Here is a 23,058-nt window from a genome sequence, read left to right as displayed (position 1 = left end):
AATTTCTCATGCTAGTCTCACAGAGATTTCAACATACTGTTTTACTTTGGTTACTGACACATTGCGACCACTTTCATTGGAAGAGAGAAGGGATATTCTGGATTATAAGCCACTTGGATCATTTTGATGTGGATACACAATATCTGTTTTCCATTATCCCTTCTGTTTATGTCTTATAGAGATTTATGTCTTATGAAAAATTTAAATTTCTACAACTTCTTTAAAACTCCAAAGAACGCAACAGATTCAGGATTAGTGACAACTTACGGAGAACATGCTACATGTCTGCTACCTTGCCAGACAGCTCCATTTGATCCATGTGTAGCAAGGGGAGGTAGCAAGGAAAAGACTTTGTAATATAAATAAATCCCTTTAACAATATTATTAATTACTCTTATTAGCATACTCATAGCAAAGAACATTATGTATATTGGTGTTAACTAGAAAGAAGTTCCAGTAATCAAGTTTACATAGCTAAAAGAGAAACTCACCAATCATTAATTCACTTAATACACATGCATTATGGTTTCATTGAAGTTAATATACTTTGTAGCAGGGATATTGTACATTGCACTGGGGTTATACCCCAGTACACACCCAACACACATTTGCCTTATTCACAGTGTATGGTGTACTCATCACAGTATTCTGTAATTATCTGCCTCCCTGACTATACTGGGAAATCATTAAGACAGGGACTTGTTTTCTTCGCCACTCTATCTGTGACATTTGGCTTATAATGCAAACTTTATAAACATTTGTAGGGAAGGAAGAAGAGGAAAGGAAATCAAGGATAGAAATTTCAACTACGGAAATGTCATGTTTCAAAGTATCTGCCCTCAGTAAAATAGCTATTGGCTATATTATTGGCTATTCCCCATGCCCTCATTCTGGACTTTTTTTCTGTTCCCTTTTCATTTCTTCCCTCTTTCTTTCTCCTAATTCTGCCTAGAATCACTTAATATCCTGTTCATGTCTGGTCTTGCTTCTTGTATCCCATGGGAAATTTTGGTGGGAATTTAGCGTTTTGTAAATGAGGGGCCTTCATGTAAGACAATTTGTTTTCCATGTATGAGAAAAGCACCTAGTAGGTATTCCCTGGTACTTTCACAAAACCTTGCACTGATCTGTCCAGGAGCCCACCTCATGACAAGGACCATATTCTAAATGAGTCTCAATATCCAACTCTTTATGCAATGCCTTGAACCTTCATGAGCTCTCTAAATGCCTGATGTGGATGCTGAGGATCAGGCAGAAATACAATACCACTTCTAAGGAAGCTCAGTAACTCTTATGCACAGTGCCAGATAGCCCATCACACAGGACAGGATCACAGAAAGAAAGAGGAAAAAAATCTAGGAAGAAAACATTTCATTTTAGCTTATAGCTTTTAAGTTCTCTATAATTTTTGGAAATAAAATTTTTATTTTACACTTTAGTATTGTTCTGTTTGAATTATAAATTGGGGTGAGTGTGCACGATAATCCTTTCAAGGCTTAAAGATTATAAAGCCATAGTTCTTAAAGTGCAGTCTGGACCCAGAGCATCAGCATCATGTAGGAAGTTGTCAGAAATACAAATTCTTGGACACATACCAAACCTGTATTTTAAGCCCTCTAGGTAATTCAGATGCATGCCCAAGTGTGAAAATCACTGATCTCAAGGCTTTAATCTGACCTTGATGCTATAAAGGAGACTAATACACTGAACTTGAAATGCAAAAAGTCATCTTCAGGATCTCCTGAAGCCACACAAATGCTAACTCATTCATTCAGTCCACTCATCTGTGATGTAAGAAAGAAAAATATCACTGTCCCTGTTCCAAGTAGAATTCAAACTAAATTGGGGTCAGGAATGGGGTCAAGCCACTACACACAGCATTTTCAGGGTTTCGAAGTTAAAAATTTCTTGGTTGAAATTACCAGAAAGGACATGTGTATGTCTGTTTTTCTTTCTTCTCTGGTTAAGAGATAGAAGAAGCTCTTGAAGATGTTTGTAGAAGATACATACATATCTTGACATGCTCTGCAGGCACCTGGGCATTACCAAAGTGCCTAGGCAGATAATGAGCATGAGTAAAGCCTAGTTCAATTCACAGAGGTTTCATTTTGAAGTGAAAAAGCTTATACTCTGACATACTTAAGCTTAAATTGTCCCCGGATCCTGTTAACATTCTGACATATATTAACAACCACAATGATTAATAAGCTCTAACTATTATTACAGTTAGTGGGCCTCCCAAAAATGTAATAGGAACAAAGCAGACACAAGCTACCTGGGCAATGTTAGACCCTTATAAGACTATGTGATGGGATTGTCTTCATGATTTCTATATAATGACAGGGAAGTTCTTGCAGTCCTGAAAGCAATAAAGTTCTCATGTGTAATGAGGGTCCTGCTATGAGTTTCCACACCAGACAGGTATTTCAAAAGCATGTGCTCCCATCATCTCAATGTCTGTAGCCATAATCAAAGAACTCCTTCCATTTCAGCAGCAGCATTAATTAAATTCTACTGTTCTGGTAACATAAGAGGTCACACACAATAAGAGGTCATCATAGTCATAAGAAGCAGTAGAAGGGTTAAGGGGCTTCCTGTGTTGCACAGTTTTGGGCAGCAAGCACTTTAGCAGTTACATGGAATGAACTCTGAAATGTCCTATAAATCATCCCAGCAGATGCCAGGACATAAGCAGAGTAAAGGTATCCAAAACTGAAAAATACATTTAATTAACGTATTCAGAACCTTGCAATCAGATAATCTGAAAAGAAGCTATTATAACTTCAGGGTATATGTATTTTTTATTTTATAATCTAGCTTCTTTTTAATTTACAAATTTAGTTTACTATAATCTTCTCAGAAATCAAAGTGTCCAAAAGTCTTAATCCAGCCTTAATAGCAGGCACACTAAAGTAATGGAGGGCAGAATTGGGCTCTTTGCTTTCCAACACTTACCTCTTTTTAAAAATTGACTTCTAATCTAAGAATTCATGTACCTAGTACTTTTTTAAGTCAAAGCTTTTAATGTTAAAAACAAGAAAGCTTCCTGCCTCACCTTCAAGTTCCAGTCTCCAAAGTCAACCATATTCAACTCTTTAACTTGTTTTTTTTTTTTTTTGTATTTACCTTTATCTCTCTATAGCACATGTTTATACAACTATTTTTTTTAAACTTTTCTGTTTTAGACAATCTGTTTTGGACTTCCTACTATAAATAGGGAATGTTAATTTTGTTCTTTCTTTCCTCTCTCTGTTATACACACACACACAGATGCACACATACACTTACAAATATTTTTCTTCCCTCCATCTTTCCAATATAGTTACATCACATTTAAAAAAAATTATTATGACTATGCAAATATTGTATACAGCTAAGCACTCAGTGTGTGCAGATTACATTTTCTTTTTAAAAAATGACTTTTTGTTTTTCCAGGAGTTCATAATTGCCCTGGATTTTTCACTTTGTTTAGTTTTCTAATAACTTCTAATTCATCCCTAAACTCACCAAAGGAACTGCAAACTCCTCTCATTATGATAAAATCCAAATGGGTTATCCATTAGTTCCATTCCTCTCTAGGAGATATTTATTTACCCCTTGGAATTCTCTGACTCATTCTAGTCTGAATGGATTATTTCCCAGGCCTGTTGCCCACCTATCGTTCAGTGACCTTTCTTTACTCTCATTCTGGGAATCCCCTTAACCTCTCTCCTATATTGGATTTCCTATCACCTGAAGTTCATGTCTTCCTCTTTCTTGATTGACTCTTAGGTTTGATGACGCATATCCTCTAGGAACTTCCTAAGTAAAGTCATGGGAGGTAGATATTTTTCAGACCTCATTTTTGATATTGGATGCCTGCAAATGTCTTTCTTCCTTTCTCACACTTGATTGATAGTTTGGATAGATAAATATTTGTAGGTTCAAACTTTATTATCTTCTAGCTTTTAGTTATTGTTGAAAAATAAGACACCACTCTTTTCTCTGATACTTTATAAGTGGTCTGTTTGATTCTCTCTAGATATTTTTCTTATTTATTTGATAATTTTTTTCATTTTCTGTTCTTTTTTCCTGGAATTTCTATTTGTTAGGTGCTGAATCACGTAGATGAATCACTTTGTTTTCTTACCATTTATTAATTATATTCTGGTAAATTTCCTCACTTTTATCTTCCAAACCTTCTACTGAATTTTTATTTCTGCCATTAAAATTATAACTTTAAGAGCTCTTTCTTATTCTCTGTATGATTTGCTTCACAGAGGTAATACTTTCTCTGCTATCTTTTAGAATTTTAATATTGTTTCTTTAATTTTTTATTTTAAAAAACTTTTGTGGATACACAGTTTTTGAATTTTTATTTTCTTGTCTACATTGTCTGTTTCCTGAGTTCTTTGTATATTTTTGTCTTGATTTCTCTTTTTGGTTAGATTTCCTCAGATACTGGCTACTGCATTGCTACATGTTCACATTTAAGTGTGAAAAATTAAAAGTCAGTTTAAGCTCTTTCTGCAGATTCAGAGATTGTCAACTGGTAGCGCTCATTCCCACCATTTTGTTGAGGAAATGTTAACATCCTTAGGATTCTCAGGCTGGTAAATGCTGTCAGAGAGATATCTTCTAAAGAGTCCATGCTTTTCTGAACCTGAAGGAGTCCATGCTGTTCTTCCAGTGTTTCAGAAGCCAAGTAGGAATGGTATCTGGGGGTTTCATAACTTAATATGAAGACTTTCAACTCATCTCTTTGTTTTCATCACATCACATCACCCTGTCCTTTGGTGTCCCTAAAACCTTCCTGATTCAATGTTCCCCCAAATCGAGTCTGTTTTCTTCTGTCTTGACTGTGGAGAGGAATATTGTGGCTGTGCCAGTGGAGAGAAAGGCACCTGGGGTCTATTTCTCCTTACGCACACTGTCAACCAATCTTCCCATTTTAATCTTCACCTATACCATGCCTTCAGCGGTAGTTGAGGCCTCCAAATCTTGAGCATTTATGAGATTCTGTAGGTTCAGTTGCCTTGCTTCTCCTAGCCTACACCTTACCTTCCCTTCTTTCCTATATACATCTTAGGCACTTAGCTTTCAGCTTTCTCTGTTTTCTAAATCAGTTATCACTCATCTATCTGCTTTATATCTTTCTCAAGTTCACTAAAGCTCTCATCTGCTTCCATCTCCTCTTATGTTCTCTTTTTTTTCTGTAGGTTTATATTAGCTTTTTTCCTTTTTTGTCATGTTAGTGGGACTTCAAGCAGAGATAAATGTGTATTTTTACTCCATGATTCTAATGCTCATTTCTTTAAGGAAAAAAAAAACACCCAGCCTAGAAAGGAATTTGGATATTAACTATTCAATCAGTGCTATTTCAATTTTTAGCAGTGGAATCTATCTTTTTCCAGACACAATCTTTTATAGAAATTCAATTTATAAAACAGATAAGAGTGAAGATAATTTTGGTTGAAACTGGTAAAAGAACAGGGTCTGCATCTAATTTCTCCTAAAAATATTTTTAAATATTTCACATGGAAAAAGCAAAATAGTGCACAGAGATTCACACTATAATCTTTTATTCAAGAAAGAACAGAGGAATTCACTGGAAAAGGAAAGATCCCAGTGAAGAGAGGATGGGTAGACAGCCTGCATGCCAACAACTGACTGAGAACTGTGAGTAAAGCCCTAATATGGGAGAGTGAGAGAGACTGTTTCTCTGTGATCCAGCTTTCCACGGGGGGACCATGCAATCCAGGCCATGGAAGAGCACCTTGTCCCTCACCAGCCCTGGTGCTAACTTGGAGAAAGGCTGGCAGGCTGTAAGAAAGAAAGGCTCCAGGAAGTGCCCCAAGCATTTTTCCAGACCCAAACCTCAGCTTCCATGATATGATTATTATGTATTGTATGCCTATTTAAAAAATCTCATGTACTCCATAAACACAAACACCTACTATGTACCCACATAAATTTTTTAAGAACCATATGATCATCTATATAGATGCAGAAAAAGCATTTGAAAAAAGTCAGCATTCTATCATGATAAAACCTTCTATAAATGAGGCATAAAAGAAACCTACCTCAAAATAATAAAGGCCATATATGACACATCTACAGCCAACATCATACTGAATGGGGAAAAGTTGAAAGCAATTCTCCTAAACCTGGTACAAGTCAAGAATGCCCACTTTCATTACTCCTGTTCCACACAGTACTAGGAGTCCTACCCAGAGCAACCAAGCAAGAGAAAAATAAATAGCACCCAAATTGGAAAAAAGAAAGTCAAATTATCTCAGTTTGCTGATCATATGATCTTATACCTAGAAAACACTAGACTTCTCCAAAAACTGTTAGATTAGATGAACAAATTAAGTAAAATTTCAGGATACAAAATAAACATACCAAAATCTATGGCATTTCTGTACACCAATAACAATCACATTAAGAACCAAATCAAGAAGGCAATTCCATTTACAATAGCTACAAAAAAAAAAAAACCCTAGGAATACATTTAACCAAATAAGTGAAAAATTTCTACAAGGAAAACTACAAAACACTAATGAAAGAAATCATAGATGATGCAAACAAATGGAAACACATCCCACGCTCATGGATGGAGAGAATCAACATTGTGAAAATGACTTCAATGCAATTCCCATCAAATACCACCATCATTCTTCACAGAACTATAAAAAGAAACTCTAAAATTCATATGAAACCAAAAAAGAGCCTGCATACCCAAAGCAAGACTAAGAAAAAAGAATAAATCTGGAGGCATCACATTACCTGACTTCAAACTATACTATATTATAAGGCCATAGTCATCAAAACAACATGGTACTGGTATAAAAACAGGCACAAAAACCAATGGGTCAGAATAGAGAATCCAGAAATAAAGCCATATACTTATAGCTAACTGATATTCAACAAAGCAAACAAAAACATAAAGTAGGAAATGGACACCCTATTCAACAAATCGTGCTGGGATAATTGGCAAGTCACATGTAGAAGAATGAAACTGGATCCTCATCTCTCACCTTATACAAAAATCAACTGAAGATGGATCAAAGACTTAAATGTAAGACCGAAACCATAAAGATTCTAGAAGATAACATCAGAAAAAACCCGTGTAGACACTGGCTTAGCCAAATACTTCATTACCAAGAACCTGAAAGCAAATGCATCAAAAACAAAGATAAATAGATGGGACTTAATTAAACTAAAAAGCTTCTGCACAGCAAAAGAAATAAACAGCAGAATTAACAGACAACCCACAGAGTGGAAGAAAACCTTTACAATCTATACATCCAACAAAGCACTAATATTCAGAATCTACAAAGAACTCAAACAAGTCAGCAAGAAGAAAACAAAAAAAAATCCCATCAAAAAGTGGGCTAAGGACATAAGTAGACAATTCTCAAAAGAAGATATACAAATGGCCAACAAGCATATGAAAAAATGCTCAACATCACTAAGTATCAGGGAAATGCAAATAAAAACCATAATGTGATACCACCTCACTCCTGCAAAAATGGCCATAATTTTAAAAATCAGAAAATAATAGATATTGACATGGATGCAGTGAAAAGGGAACACTTTTACTCTGTTGATGGGAATGTAAATTAGTACAACCACTATGGAAAACAGTATGAAAATTATTTAAAGGACTAAAAGTAGATCTTCCATTTGAGCCAGCAATCCCATTACTAGGTATCTACCTAGAGGAAAAGAAGTAATTATATGAAAAAGATGCACATGCATGTTTATAGCAGCACAATTTGCAATTGCAAAAATATGGAACCAGCCCAAATGTCCATCGATCAATGAGTGGATAAAGAAAATGTGATACACATACACATGTGGTACACACACCACGGAATACTATTCAGCCATAAAAAGGAATGAAATAATGGCATTTGCAGCAACCTGGATGGAAATGGAGACTGTTATTGTAAGTGAAGTAGTTCAGGAATGGAAAACCAAACATCCTATATTCTCACTCATGTGAGAGCTAAGCTATGAGGACACAAAGGCATAAGAATGATACATTTGGACTTTAGGGACTTGTGGGGAAAGGGTGAGGGAGGTGAGGGATAAAAGGCTACACGCTGGGTACAGTGTTCACTGCTAGGGTGATGGGTGCACCAAAATCTCATAAATTGCCATTAAAGAACTTATTCATGTGGCCAAACACCAACTGTTCCCCAAAAACCTATTGGAATAAAAAAAATTTTTTTGTTTAAAGAAAACCTAGGGAAAACTCTTCTGGACATTGGTCTATGCAAAGAATTCATGACTAAGACTACAAGAGCATAAGCAACAAAACCAAAAATAGACAAATGGGACTTAATTAAACTAAAATGTTTCTGTGTAGCAAAAGAAACAAATCAACAGCATAAACAAACAATCTGCAGAACAGGAGAAAATATTTGCAAACTATCAATCTGGCAGGGACTAATATCCAGAATTTATGAGGGACTCAAACAACCATCACCAAAAACAAACAAACAAACAAAAAAACAAAAAACAAAAAAACCCCAACTAACTCGAATAAAAAGTGGGCAAAAGACATGCATGAACAGACATTTTTCAAAAGAAGAAGACATAAATGGGCAAAAGACATATGAAAAAATGTTCAACATCACTAATCATCAGATAAATGCAAATTAAAACCACAAGAAGGTATCTTACACCAGTCAGAATGGCTATTACTAAAAAGACAAAAAATAACAGATGTTGATGAGGATACAGAGAAAAAGGAACATTTATACAGTATTTTGGTAGGAATATAAATTTGTACAACCTGTATGAAAAATAGTATGGAGATTGCTCAAAGAACTACCATTCAATCTAGCAATCCCACTACTGGGTATATACCCAAAGGAAAAGATCATTATATCATTATATCAAAAAGATACCTGCACTTTTATGTTTATTGCAGCACTATTCACAACAGCAAAGATATGGAACCAACCTAAGTGTCCGTCAAAGGACGATTGGATAACAGTACACACACACACACACACACACACACAATGGAATACTATTCAACCACAAAAAAAGAATAAAATCATGAATTTTGCAGCAACATAGAAAGAACTGGAGGCCATTATCTTAAGTGAAACAACTCAGAAACAGAATGTCAAATACCAATGTTCTCACTTATAAGTGGGAGCTAAATAATGTGTACATATGGATATACAGTGTGGAGTAACGGACGTTGGAGACTCAGAAGAGTGGGAAGTTGGGAGAGAGGTGAGTGATAAAAAAATTACTTAATGGGTATAATGTACCATATTCAGGTGATGATTACACCAAAAGCCCAGACTTTACCACTGTGCAATATATCTGTGTAAGAAAACTGCACTGTACCCCTTTACTTTATAGAAATTATAACAATAATATATATTTTTGAGATAGGGTCTCACTCTAGCACCCAGGCTGAAGTACAGTGGTATAATCACAACTCACCGCAGCCTAAATCTCTTGGGCTCAAGGAATCTCCTAGTTTCAGCATCCCATGGAGTTAGGACTCCAGGCACAGGCTATCATGCCTGGCTGAATTTTAAAAAATTTGGTTAGAGACGGGGTCTTGCTATGTTGCCCAGACTGGTCTCAAACTCCTGACCTCGAGTGATCCTCCCACCTCAGCCTCCCAAAACGTTGGGATTACAGGTGTGAGCCACCACCTTCGACCACAAATATTTTAAAATATTTTTAAAGAGCCTCTGCTGCACCAGACACAGTGTTAGACTCTGGAAAAATAGAGATGAGCAGTACAGACACAGCTTCTGTTCTCATGCTGCTTAGTACCACCAACCCCTCATCCTGGAGGTCTCTAAGGAGCCTAGATTGAAAATTAGTCATCTAATCTAAGGTCCAGAGAGGAAAAAGCCTTCCTGGTCTTAAGTCATGCTTCGATGTTAAATGTACTTGTTAAATGTTAAATGCATCAAATAAGTGTATTTGATATACAATTAAACAGATCACAGGGTGATGGTCAGGTGAGAAAATCAAAGACTTATGTTATGACTGAGGTTTCCCATATGGAGATGTGGAATAAGCTAGAAAAAGGCTATAAATTGTGCATAAAGCTCCTAATAAAAGAGTGAATGTTTGCCCACCTGAAAACTTAATTGTTTGTTTTTACCCTGCCATTCCCTTTGAAGAGATTGCTTTTGGTTTAGAGTTTAAATTTTTTAAATAAAAACTTGTAATCAAATTTAGAAGAAAAAAATATCTCAGCCCTTTTCATCTAGTAAGAATACTCTGTGTCACTGTTTATCATCTAGTGCTAGAGTGTATCTCAGTTAGGCTTCTCAGATTAAAAAAAAAATAGAAGAAACTAAGAAATAGGGCTTTATCCCTGAAGCATAGCAATCCTATTTATTGAGACTGACAATGCTAAACAAGTTTTAGTTTTGTTTTTCAGACCAAATCTCTTCAAATAACTGACTGACCTTCGGAGTGATGGTCCTCCCAGCTTAACTGAATGTACTGTGCTCTCTGCTTCTAAAAGACAAGTTAGGTAGGGAGGTTCCTTTTTCCAGAAACTGCACAAACTTGTTATTATGCACTGCTAGGCTGCCATTTGATCACAAGGGACCACTGAATTTCAATTATTTCATCCTTGGAGACTAAGAGTTACTTACAATAATAATAAGCAATTTTTCTTTGAGTTTCCTGGCTTTTGGGTCAGACATTCAACTTCTATTGGCCTCAGTTTCTTCATCTGTTATACTAAGATATCAGACTTAAACACCTGTAAGATTTCTTCCAAGTTATTCCAAGATAATCAGTAGCTGTCAATGTATTTTGAAGCCTAAAGGAACTTACTCACCTAGAGAAGTGCAACCCAGGACATTTTCCAAACACCTGGCCAACGCTTCGATATCACTGTCCTGTCAAAATAAGGGAGAAATGTTTATTTTCCCTGTATGGTAGAAGGATACTTAATAACATGGAAAAATGTTCTTACTACATTTAGGCGAAAAAAAAATCTGGTTCCAAAATTATTTCAGTATAATCCTATTTTTAAAAAGAAAAATAACTTTATGTATATCTACATCACTCTCTCCATAACAATCTCTAGATTTATTGCTCTATCTGTCATGGCAAAAACATACAAAAAAATGTTAGCAGTGGTTTTGACTAAAAGATTAAATTATGAGTGATCTTTATTGTCTCCTTCGTGTGCTTATGTCTTTTCCAAATTATCTATAATAAATACATATTAAATCTATAAACATAGTAAATGCTATTAGAATAAAAGAAATATTTTATTCAATTTACAATTTAGTCAATACAGCAGAAATCTAATGCATTTTTTCCCTTGGAGAACAACTAGCTCTTCTTTGGAAATGTATGGTCTTCAAGGAGTGCTAAATCTAAGAATACCACTCGTCATTTACCTTAACCCTCATTAAGAGTCAGACTTCCCCCATAACGGTTGGGGAAATCACAGAACTGTATTTGATTAAAAATATTGTCTTCAATACAAAATAAATTTGTCCTCCACCAAGCAGGCTTGAAATAATCCAAAACAGCATCCTAATGATCTGGGAAAAGTATTAATTATTTTCAGGTTTGTGGTTATACTAAGGAAAATTAAGAATTTATGGCTGGGCACAGTGGCTCACGCCTGTAATCCCAGCATTTTGGGAGTCCAAGGTGGGCAGATCACCTGAGGTCAGAAGTTCAAGACCAGACTGGCCAACATGGTCAAACCCCGACTTGACTAAAAATACAAAAATCAGCCGGGCGTAGCAAAGATTCAGTCAAAGAAAACATCTTTCAGGAGCATATTATGGCCAGTGTGATTGAGAATTATGCTGCTGATTGGAACTTTTGCATTTCTTCCCTGTTTCATAATTTAAATTGAACTTTACTGGAGCTAAGTGGCCTGAGAGAGTAACTGCATCTTGCTAGATGCCAAATTACAGTGTCACCAGCCTTCAGTCATCTCAGCCAAGTGCTGGGAAGCCAGATTTTCAAATGCTGTGAAAATAACAACGGCTTCTTTGTTGATGAACTTAAATGTTCTTCAAGTCTCCTTCCTCCATAGCCACAAACCCCTCCATTATAATAACATGCCTTAGAGACATGAGGAATATCTTGTAAGATTCAATTCTGAAAAACTGTCCCACAGATTCAAGTTTAGTCAAATGCCCACATTTTTTTTCAGAAACCTATGCAGTCATTTCACTAATGAATTAGACATTGCTTTTATGGAGGAATGGTAGCTGTTCTCAAAAGGTCCAGTCAGATCCATGAAGTACATGATAACTATCAATGCCTGCCTAGCAGCCACAGGAAAAAACTATCATATCTGAAGGAATCTCCCTTTTTAGACAATGTCAAAATACAAATATTGAAAATAATGTTTTCTCTAACAATTCCCATTTATTTTTAATCTGGAAAATATAGAAAATTATCAAAGAAAATAAATACCCCAAATCCCACTGCTATTAATACAAACACACACACATAAACATATATAGTCAGTCTTTTCTATATACATCTATCTCTTAGATATTTCAGATCATACTATATATGTATGCTATATGCATGCCTATCTTTTAGATATTTGAGATTATACTATATATGTACGGTATGTGTGTCTATACATAAAATACACAAAAAAACAGTACAATGTACTGTTGTACAATATTGTTTGGAATATTAAATTTATTAAATTAAAGGGAGTTGGTACTGATATAAAAAATGTTTCTGTTTTTAGAACACACATTTCAGTCACTGCATTCTCAGGTATTCCAAGTCAAATATGATGACATCAATAGACTGCATTTTAAAAACATTGTTTGGTTTTTCTGTTTCCAAACAGAAAATGTACAATATTGTTCAGACTTTTTTCTGACGCTATTAAAAATTCTTCAGAAGCATAATTTTAATGGCTGGACCATTGCTCCCTAAAGGCATATCATATGTATTTATCCATACCCTTATCATTGGACATCTAGATTGCTTTCATTTTATTTTGTTTTAAAGAATACTGCAATGACTATCTTTACACATACATCTTTGTTTCATGTTTATTGTTATTTCTTTAGGTTGGCCCATCAGAAATAGAATTACTGGGTCAAGGAATATGACAATTTAGAAACCCTCCTCTTTCTCTGCTCTTACTCTTTTCTCTACACTCCTGCACTTCCCAACAAGTATATTTTCTTCACAAGGAGCTAATATATGCCTTCATATTTATTTTCATTCTCCTATCTATTAAAATATGCTCTCTGTCAAGAAGAGATATGACAGATCCATTAAAACCAAAAATGGTTGATAAAGTTTATGTGTTATCTCTCTCAGGATATTTGTATTTCATAAGGCATATGACCTCATATCAGAGGAGTTAATTTCTAATAGGAAAAGTTTAGGCAGCAGCAAGCAGGCAATCTCAAAGGAGAAAGTCAGATGGGGTCTTCACAGGATTGTAAAAATCACACCATGTAGATCTTCATTTAGTTATCAGGCAGTTGTTTGACAAAATAATCCAGATGATCTCCTCACTTAGAGCTAGTCATAACGAAAGATTCAATTCACAAGAAAAAAACTGTGTCACTTCATTATCCAGTTGTATTTCATTCAGAAAATATTTATTAAATTAAAAGGGGTTGGAACTGATATAAGAAAATGTTTATGTTTTTAGAACAGACATTTCAGTCACTGGATTCTTGTGTATTCCAAGCCAAATATGATGACATCGATAGACTGTATTTTTAAAATATTGTTTGCTTTTTCTGTTTTCAAAAATAAAACCCTGTTTCTAACAACAACAACAACAACAACAACAAAAACCAATTATGTGTCAAATGTATACAAAGACAAGGAAGAGAGATGAAGCCTTAGCCTCCCATTTGGAGAAAAATAATCCTTTTCTGACAGTTTGTTTCTCAAGCTGTTGCTGACAGTCACTTATCCAAGAGACTCTGGTTGTGGCGTACTGTCCAAGCTGCAGCCAACTCCAGTGAAAAAGGTGCAGCAAGGTAGGAAAGAGGTTTTGCCACACCTATTAGGAAACAAACCAATAAAAACCCACTCATGGGAGAAGCCTAGTTCTAAGAGGTTTGTTTTTCCCAAGTCTAAGAACAGTTAGCCTTTCTGTGGATAAAGATTCTGAGAAAGGAGCCAGAGGAAGGCAAGGCTTAAAGACATAAGATGCCATATTCTTCCCTCCTCCACTATCCACAGTGAACTTGCTCTCGCTAAATGAGTTAAAGGGAAAAAAAAATTACATTGACTAAAAACAATAGATAAATGATTTGGTTAAGAAAAATATTGACCAAGTTTGAAACTTAAAGAGTTGGAGATGGAAAACCAATGACAGGGTTTTGTTTGAAAGTTAGGTAAGTGAAAACCATTTACACAGTTCTCATTGAAGCTGAATGGATAACTAAGGGAATGATATCTGTAAAATGATAACTATATATAATATTATGTATATTGTTTGGTAACAAATGAATTGTGACTGTGTGAATGAATGAATGAATGAATGAATGAATGAAAGCTACCTAGCTGCCACAAGAACTTAGTTTGGGATGAGAGCTCAGTTTGAGCACCAGCAGTCCCTTAGAGATTGCATATCTATCTTTAGATGTTCTTGAGAGTCTCCCAAAAGGTTATTCTTTTGCTCACTGCTCCTTCACCTTGAAGGTGTGAAAACTCAGCCATCTGTCTACATCTAGCACCCTCAGCACTCTCCTGGCTGGTAGGCTATACTGACTCCCGAAGGCATATCTAGAGAAGGCTTGGCACATATCAACACACACATAGATGGGTTCAGAGCTACAGAAGTGTTTTATGTTTCCAGTGGCTGAAAGCTGCTCTGAGTGAGAATGGATGCATGCATGCTTTGCTTTCATGCTGTGCTGCCAGGCTTGACACCATGTCCTCCATCTGCCAAACAATCCTGAGCAGGCATAGACCTATAAAGGTATATATAGAGTAGAGTACGCATAACCTTCTATCACAGCCCCAGCTAGGAGAAGTGCTCAGCTGAGCTTCATCTTGCTCAGACCCCAGGCACGTCCTCAGTCAACCTTATGTCAACAGATGTTAGGGTATAAACGGGCTGATTTCTTTCACCTCTTGGTCACCTCTTCTCTCAGAGCCATCCCATAGAGAAGTAAATCCCACCAAATCATGCAAAACCCTCTTCCTCTTCCCTCCTCACCCAGAGTCACTCTGGACCCATGTTTTTTTTTTCCTGAGAGGCTTCATTTGAGTGTATCCAGACCTTCTTGAAGCTGTGGCCAGGCACTGTCCACAAGCAGCCAGGAAGTGGCCTCAATGCAGGCTGCAGACCTATAGAGCTCATCTATCTACATGAATATTGCAACTCTGTTGTAGTTTTTTTGTAGTTTTTCTTTTTTTGATGTAATTATTAATGATGCATTATTTTTATTGAGATAAAATTTGCACATCGTGAAATGCAAGATCTTAAGGGTACAATTCTATGAGTTTTCAAAAATGTATACACCTGTGTATATGCCACCTAAAGCAAGGTAAAGAATATCTCTATCATCCCCAAGATCTTTTTGCTCACTATGATCTTTTTGCTCACTATGCAGTTTCTGGAACGCGCCCAGGTTTTCATGACCTGGAGCTTTCCCTCACTCTCTGTTCCCTCTCTGTGAAGCACTCTTCTCCCAGTTCCCTTTTGTCCCATCAAGGGCTGGCTCCTTTCCATCCTCCAGGTCATGGCTGAAAAGTCAATCTCTAGAAATTCTCCTTGACTTCCCTTATTAGTAGGTCTTCCCTAAACCCCAAATGCCCATTCCTCTATCACTTCAGCTTCTTTGTTTTCTAGTTGCTCTTACTTCTTTGTTTGTGTCCTGGCTAATTGGCTACCTGTACCACTAGACTGTACACTGCATCCATTCATTCACGTATTCCACAATATCTACTAAGTATTTGTTCTGTGATAAACACTGTTCAAGGTGCTGGGAATATAGCAGTGAAAAAAAATAGAATATCTGCTCTACTGGCTTTCATTCTAGCAGAGGGAGACAGGCCATAAAAGAATAAGCAATAGTGGCCACTCAGACGGCAATAAAGACTATGGAAGAAAATAAAGTAGGAGAGGAAAGAGGGGATTCTCAGTCCAGTGAAAGCTATTTCATATAAGGTGGTCAGAGTCCTCCCTGATAAGATGACATATAAACAGAGACTTGAAGACAGGGAGGGAGCAAATCATTTGTGTATCTGGTGGGAAGAGCATTCAAGGCTCCCAAAGCCAGGGACATGCTTGGTGTGTTCCAGAAACTGGAAGGGTGGAGTGAGTGAGGACAATTCTCATGTTGATGGAAGAGAGGGGCTTAGTGAGGTGATGATGATGAAGTACTGAAAAGCCTTTCTTTGCTTTGAATGAGACGGGAGGGTTAGTAGGAGACCAGTAAGAAGCTACGACAAGGTGATGATGGCTTTCGCAGTAGGAATGCAGGTAGTAAGTAGTGGTCAAATTCCAAGTATACTTTAAAGGTCAAGCCAATAGGTTTTGCTTATGGATTGGATATGAATGTGAGTGAAAGGATGTCAGTCGAGGTTGGCTCAGGAGGAGCTAATTTGGACTGAGGGTAGAGTATATGAGGGGCTTAACTTTAGTACATGCTTATTTCAGGATGTCTATTAGAGACTCCTAACCCTACTCCCAGGCAGACTGGATATGTGAGTCTAGAGTTCTTTCGTACATGCTTATTTCAGGATGTCTATTAGAGACTCCTAACCCCACTCCCAGGCAGACTGGATATGTAAGTCTAGAGTTCTGCGAAAATAGAACTGAAGAATAGAAGGCACACATTTAGGAGATGTCAATCAATAAATACTATGTAAATATGTAAGGCTGAGTGAGATCCCATGAAGGTGGAACTATGTCTATTGTGTTCACTACCATATACCCAGTGCTTAGACCATTCAAATATGTGATGCATAAATGAATGACCCAAAAAGTAACTCATCTATGTTGCATTTCTAAAAGTGTTTTCTTGAGACAGGGTCTCATCTGTTGCCCAGGCTGGAGTACAGTGGCTTAATCATCGCTCACTGCAGCCTCAACCTCTTGGGCTCAAGTGATGTTCCTGCCTCAGCCACCCAAGTAGCTTAGTGCCACCATGCCACCATGCTCAGCTATTTTAAAATTTTTTTGTAGAGATTAGGTCTCACTATGTTGCCCAGGCTGCTCTCAAACTCCTGAGCTCAAGCAATCCTCCCACCTCAGCCTCCCAAAGTGCTAGGATTACAGGAATGAGCCAATGTACCCAGCCCCACCTACTTTTTTCTCCAAGTTGCATTTTTAAACTATCATCTACTCTCCCACAAATGGTGTCCAGAACAGCCCTGGAAAATGTCACTAAGTTACAGAAACCAAAACACCAAGGTGACCTTATCCATCTTCTTCACACTCAGATGTACCTTTCACATCTCAGCTTGAACTCATTAGAAGCCAAGCCCTTGCTTATATGCATTCATAATTCATAGGAAGGCAGAAGATGCCGTTTAGCACAAAGCCATAGGACAGAGCTGATGGCACCTTTGTGAGGGCTTCCCTGAAATCAGGAAGCTAATATCGTAACTCCTATCTCACTACTGATGGTGGCCTTCTGCCTTAAAGTGTGTGCGGTGATAGGAACACAGAGCCACATCTGCAAAACTCAAACTGCCAACAAGCCCCCACAGCTCCCATAAGACTAAAAGCCTCTTTCACTGAATTCCGAATTGCTGAAACGTGACTGTCAACGTGTCCACATTTCACTGCTAATGCCTTGTTTACTCTGCATTATTAAAACCTTCTAACTGCAGCTGTCTCTTATTAATGCCCAGGTTCTCGGCAAGTCAATGCCTGTGGGATTGCTTTAGGGTTTCAAAGACATTCATAGGTATCCAATGACAGAACTCTTAAGACATTTAGAATTACGGTTTAGAAATGTAAAGGATAAAGAGACGAAAAAAAAGCAGGGCTGATAGAATGGCAACGTAACACCTACCCAAAACAGGGCAATGGATTTTCCAGGAACTGGTGAGGCCTGTACTCCCTCTGCAACAATCCATTTCTAGAATTCCAGCACAGTGAAAGAAAAGCTACCTCTAATCAATCCTTCCACTTGCTCTTTATTAACTACTTAATCTCTTTCCACTCTATACATACAATAGCCTAGAGAAGAAAGTCCTGCAATTTAAGGGAGGTTTATTGCCACAAAAACACAAGAATTTTTCAGTCCAAAAGATAGTCATTGTGATACACAGTTGTTTATTGCAGATTTCTATTTTTAACTCTAGTTTTAGCTTTACTTTTATTTAAATCCCACAGAGTAAGTGAAAAATGTAGCCCTGTGATTTAAACATGATTTTAAATCATCAGCTCATAGTCCATTTTCACACACTTTGGAGCTGTCACTTAGGTCCCAAGAATCTCCTTTTCTTCTCCTTTACCAACTTCTACATTAAGTTCTATACTTACTCCAAATTCCTAATAGTTGGTACAACGAATATTTGCTGGTTTAAACCCCAGCTCTGTCATTGGATGGGGTAACTTAGGTCAAATTAGTTAATCTGTCTGTTTCATAGTCTTCTCATTTGTAAATGGTGAGAGATGTTAATTGCATTGAGTGCTGTGAGTATGAATGGGATAAGGCATGTAAAGGGTTTGGCACAACACCTGGATGCTGCAAGGTAGCTCTGTCTTATTATGACTGGTGTTTTCCCAGGGATGACATAGACCCCTGTGCCTTCAGATTACCAGGTTATGTGGGAACAATGCACCCCCAACAATGGCCCCCATGTGTCACAACCCTTTCCTCCCAGGCTGGACACCATGAAATGGTATTTACTCTCCCTGTCTAGGTGAATGAAATATTCAGAAAATTAAAATAAATTTCTGATCACAAAACAGTTGGATGGGACTTGTATTTTTCTGTTTGCCAACGCTGTTTAGGATGGTTTTCATATTTTTTGCAGGGTTTCTGTGCACCATATGGTCAGGGCACCTCAGCTCTGATGATAGCTAGGGAAACAGGGATTAATGTAGGGTAGTGGAGGGAGAAGATTGTTGGAGAGAAAAGCACTAGAGGGTCCACTGCAACTACTCTTATCAGCTGTGTCTCACCACTCTCACCCCAAAGTTCCAGGAGCAGCACAGCGGAGCACAGGGCATCTCACAGTGAAGGTCACCGTCCCTTTATTTGCCCATTGACCTGTGGACCTCTGATCAGCCACCAACAAGGGAGACTGTGGGGCTGGTGACCTCTCCATCTTCACACTGAAGGGAACACTCAGACACTTTGCATTCCTGCTCAGATTTGCTTTGCCCTTTTTTCACCCTATTGCCTTTCTCCTTTTTCTCCATGCTTTGGTATTGGGGTGAAAAATGTAGGTGTGATCCTAAACCCTATAATGGACCTAATTTTAAAGACTTAATGACTAAGCCTCCTACAAAGCCCACAAACTCACGCATGTACCCCCTGAACCTAAAATAAAATAAAGGCCAGAAGAAAAAAAAAGAATAGTATATCAAATTGTTAAGAGAAGTAAGTGATATAATGTAAAAAAAAAAACAAACCCCACTGTGCTGTATTCCACAGCAAGGTTTGACTGGTCCTAATATGACTAGCAATGAGCTATGCTTTGATCTGGACAAGAAATGGGAGAGAGAGAAGGGGGAAGAATCATGACGGAAATGAGGGCTGGGATGGGGGGTAGGGGTGGAAATTGTCACCTCAAAGTCTCTCCTTTGAGCAACACACAGTCTACAGAAGGCCCATCACCTAGAAGGAATGACACACCAAACTGGGAGTATCCACTAACACTGTAGCAAGGCTGATGGCTTTACAGCCTGGGACACAGGCCAGCGGAATGCTAATGGAAAAATGATCGACAATCTGAAACAGCTGGGAGTCTGCTTTTTAGAACTGATGACCTCTAAGGTCGATTTAAGACAAAAAGTGTTTCTTCCCAAGTATGAAGGTAAATTAATTAGGTCAGATCATGTAAAAATAACAGGCAAATAAGTCCCACTACTGGGACTCAACAGTTCTGGCAACTTATCTTAAAAAAGAAAAGGACATAGTAGGAGGAGATAAATCTGTATCCCATAACAGATGAGAGATGTTGGGTCTTTTTTGTTTTACTTTTCATAACTCAGCACTCTTCCTGGAACTGGTTTAAATTTTGCCTTGTACATAGCACAGTCATTCTGTTTAGTAAAAAGGTCTTGCCAGAGTACCAGATAATGCAATGGCCCTGCAGCTATTCCCTTGCACCTAACGCATTTACTCTATCATCAGTGGAGGAGAAGCAATTCTAATTGTTGTGCAGAGGAAAGACTGTATAAAGCAGAGGCTAAAAATAAATTCATACAGTCCAGTTCTGCTACTTACTAGCTGTGTGGTCTTGGAGATGTAACTTAATTTCCTTATGCCTCAGTTTCCTCTTGTGTGAAGTTAGGATGTCACAAACAGTATCTTTCAAGGGACCTAGGTTTTAAAGTCAGCACTTGAAATATCCTCCACTGCTGTTTCTTTTTTGAGCAAATGAAATAGCTGATTTGCACGTAGGGACTAGATTGTGTGAAAAATATGTATCTGAAATACTGGAAGTCTACAACAATAATTCAAAGCAACAAGAGGCTTACAGTCTGAGAGATGCAGGAACTGAGATGCAGTAGAGGGACTGGATTTATATCTCTCAGCTCATTTTGACTCTGGAGCATTCAGTAAAAGTCACATGAAATCCCTAACTCATGATCCCTTCCTTTCTCCTACCTTCACCTTCTCCTTTATCTCTGCCTTCTCCCTTATTTGAATTCCAGCCAGTTAAATTCTAGTTTGATGCAGTTCATCTAGAATATATGCATCAGAGTTGTTGCAAGAATTAAATGAAATAATACACCTGTGACAGCCATGAGATCTGCCACTTACAAGTCCCTTCAAGATAGACCCTGCTGCAAGGAGCCTAGTGATCTGACAGCCCTCGGCTACAACACCTTCGGGATCCAATGCAGGGTCCACGCTGAGGCCCTGCTCTTCCCAGGCAACTCCCAGGCAATGTAAGCACTATGGGGAAGTTAGGGCCAGGCCATTCTTTCGCAGTGCTGGACTCCAGCAACACACCTTGCGCTCCCTCTTGACAGGGCCAAACCTTTTTCAGAATTGCAGTGCAGCCTGAGGCTCCCATCCAATTGCTCCCTCTCTCTCTCCCTCCCTCCCTCCTTCCCTACCTTCCTTCCTGCCTGCCAGCCTGCCTGCCAAGGTTTTATCAGAATTGCACTGCAGCCTGAGGTTCTCATCCAACCTTCCTTCCTTCCTTCCTTCCTTCCTTCCTTCCTTCCTTCCTTCCTTCCTTCCTTCCCCTCAAATATATCAGTATGGTTTAAGACTCCTCCCACCTACTTGATAGGAATTTCCTTTTTATTTCTAATTCTGTCTCATCACCTGCTTCCTGGAGTACCTGAACTGACACAGCATGCAAAGTACCGAGCATAGAATGAAGATTCTGGAAATACTAGCTGTTACTGTTATCATTACTATGATCTGATTAAACTAATGACTCAACTAACAGCAGGAACTCTTGGAGGCACCTACCATCATGACAATCAGATCCAAGGGTCCTCAGCAGAATCTCAGGCCTTGCCTATCGCATATCCAGTTCTCTGCCCCGGGACAATGTTCCAAGAAGAAAATCAATTGTTTTTCCTAAGAATTTCAAAACCTCTGAATGATTTGGGGAAAAAGCATTGAGAACTTCAGAATTAACTGGAATAGTGGAACTCTGCCGCCTTTCATCTTAGGAAGAACAAACACCATAGTCCTGAAGAGCCTTCTTAAAACAAGCCTCAGTGACAGCCACATTCATTAAACAAAGCCCTTCCGAGGAAGATTTGTGTCGAGTCATTATTGTCCACCTAGTATGTGTATTACTGGATGCATCTGAGCCATTTATTAGTCTTGGAGAGAAAAATGATAGTCAAGGCAGCAAAGGAAAGACAGAAGAGTCTGTGAAAACACTCGTCAGCCTGTAGCCCTAAGCCATGTCCATTAGAGCGCATAAAACACTTTTTAGTGACAGGTTGCACAAGTGTTGTGGAGAACCCTGTTATGACGGCAGCTATAAACTCAATTCTCCTGAGATCTAAGATGCTGGCTCCAATTCAGTGACCACAGACTTGGCAGAGGAGCCATCAACAATATGATAATGGCTTGTGATAAAGGTTTTATTGATGCTGTGCTTATCACAGCAGAGAAACAGTTGGCAATCATCAGCAATTAGGTGCTTAATAAAACTGCTTTGGAGACACTGCTACTAAAAAGATTGTCATGGGTGGCACAAAGAACTCAGTAATCAATCTCAATGAAGTCCATGGCTGTGTTTCTTTTTGAAAGCACTTCTTTCATCAAAATAACTATGTGACTTTGGCTCCATCTAAAGGAAGGGGAATCAACTTTGATCTGATTACACACATAGAAGGCATTTGTGTGATGACCATCTAAGCAGACCCTGGCACACTCAGAGGTCCAGGGCAAGACCAGGGAAAGGGGAGAAGAGGCCAATCTGAGAGATGGCAGCAGGTCTCTCTCAATTCACAAAGTTGACCATGACTGAGTTCTGTAGTGTAATTTGTATGTTGCTAATGAAAATAACCTGAAAGGGAAGAGTCCACATTCATCACCTTTGGGGAAGGAGAAACTACATTGAATTACTGGAAGAAAACAAATGGGGTTGTAATTACCTGTCTCTAATACAAATTACTCTATTGTGTAATTGTTTTTGCTACTCTAAACAAATTACTCTATTTTTTGCTAATCTATACAAATTGCTCTACTGTGTATTGTTTTTGCTACTATAGAATGTATATTGACCTAGAATGGACTTGGCAACACTTCTGTTTCCCTTATGCCAAGTCCATTCTAGGTCAATATATATTCTATAGTAGCAAAAACATTGACTTGAGAATGTGACTGATGTGGGCCTGAGGCATGAGTCTGATCCTTGCCTAGCTACGTGACCGCAGGAAGGCTACACCTCTCTCAGAAACTAACTTTCCTCAATTAGAGTGAGCAGAGATCATGC

At 38.0% G+C, this 23,058-nt stretch overlaps 1 protein-coding gene across 51 annotated transcripts in view; it reads right to left on the bottom strand.

Annotated features, from left to right (window-relative positions):
* Positions 1–23,058, bottom strand: part of NEK11 (NIMA related kinase 11) — a 323,589-nt gene that overhangs the window by 96,147 nt on the left and 204,384 nt on the right. For all 51 annotated transcript variants that reach the window (XR_001740271.2, NM_001353038.2, NM_001353022.2 and 48 more), the window contains one exon: positions 10,823–10,883. Coding sequence is in view for 50 of the 51 variants with exons in the window: in NM_001353038.2 (NP_001339967.1) it covers positions 10,823–10,883 (61 nt within the window). In the remaining variant the exon portion in view is untranslated. The remainder of the gene's footprint in view (positions 1–10,822; positions 10,884–23,058) is intronic.

Source organism: Homo sapiens, chromosome 3, assembly GCF_000001405.40.
Source record: "Homo sapiens chromosome 3, GRCh38.p14 Primary Assembly".
NCBI lineage: Eukaryota > Metazoa > Chordata > Mammalia > Primates > Hominidae > Homo > Homo sapiens.
This window is presented reverse-complemented; position numbering and strand designations above follow the sequence as displayed.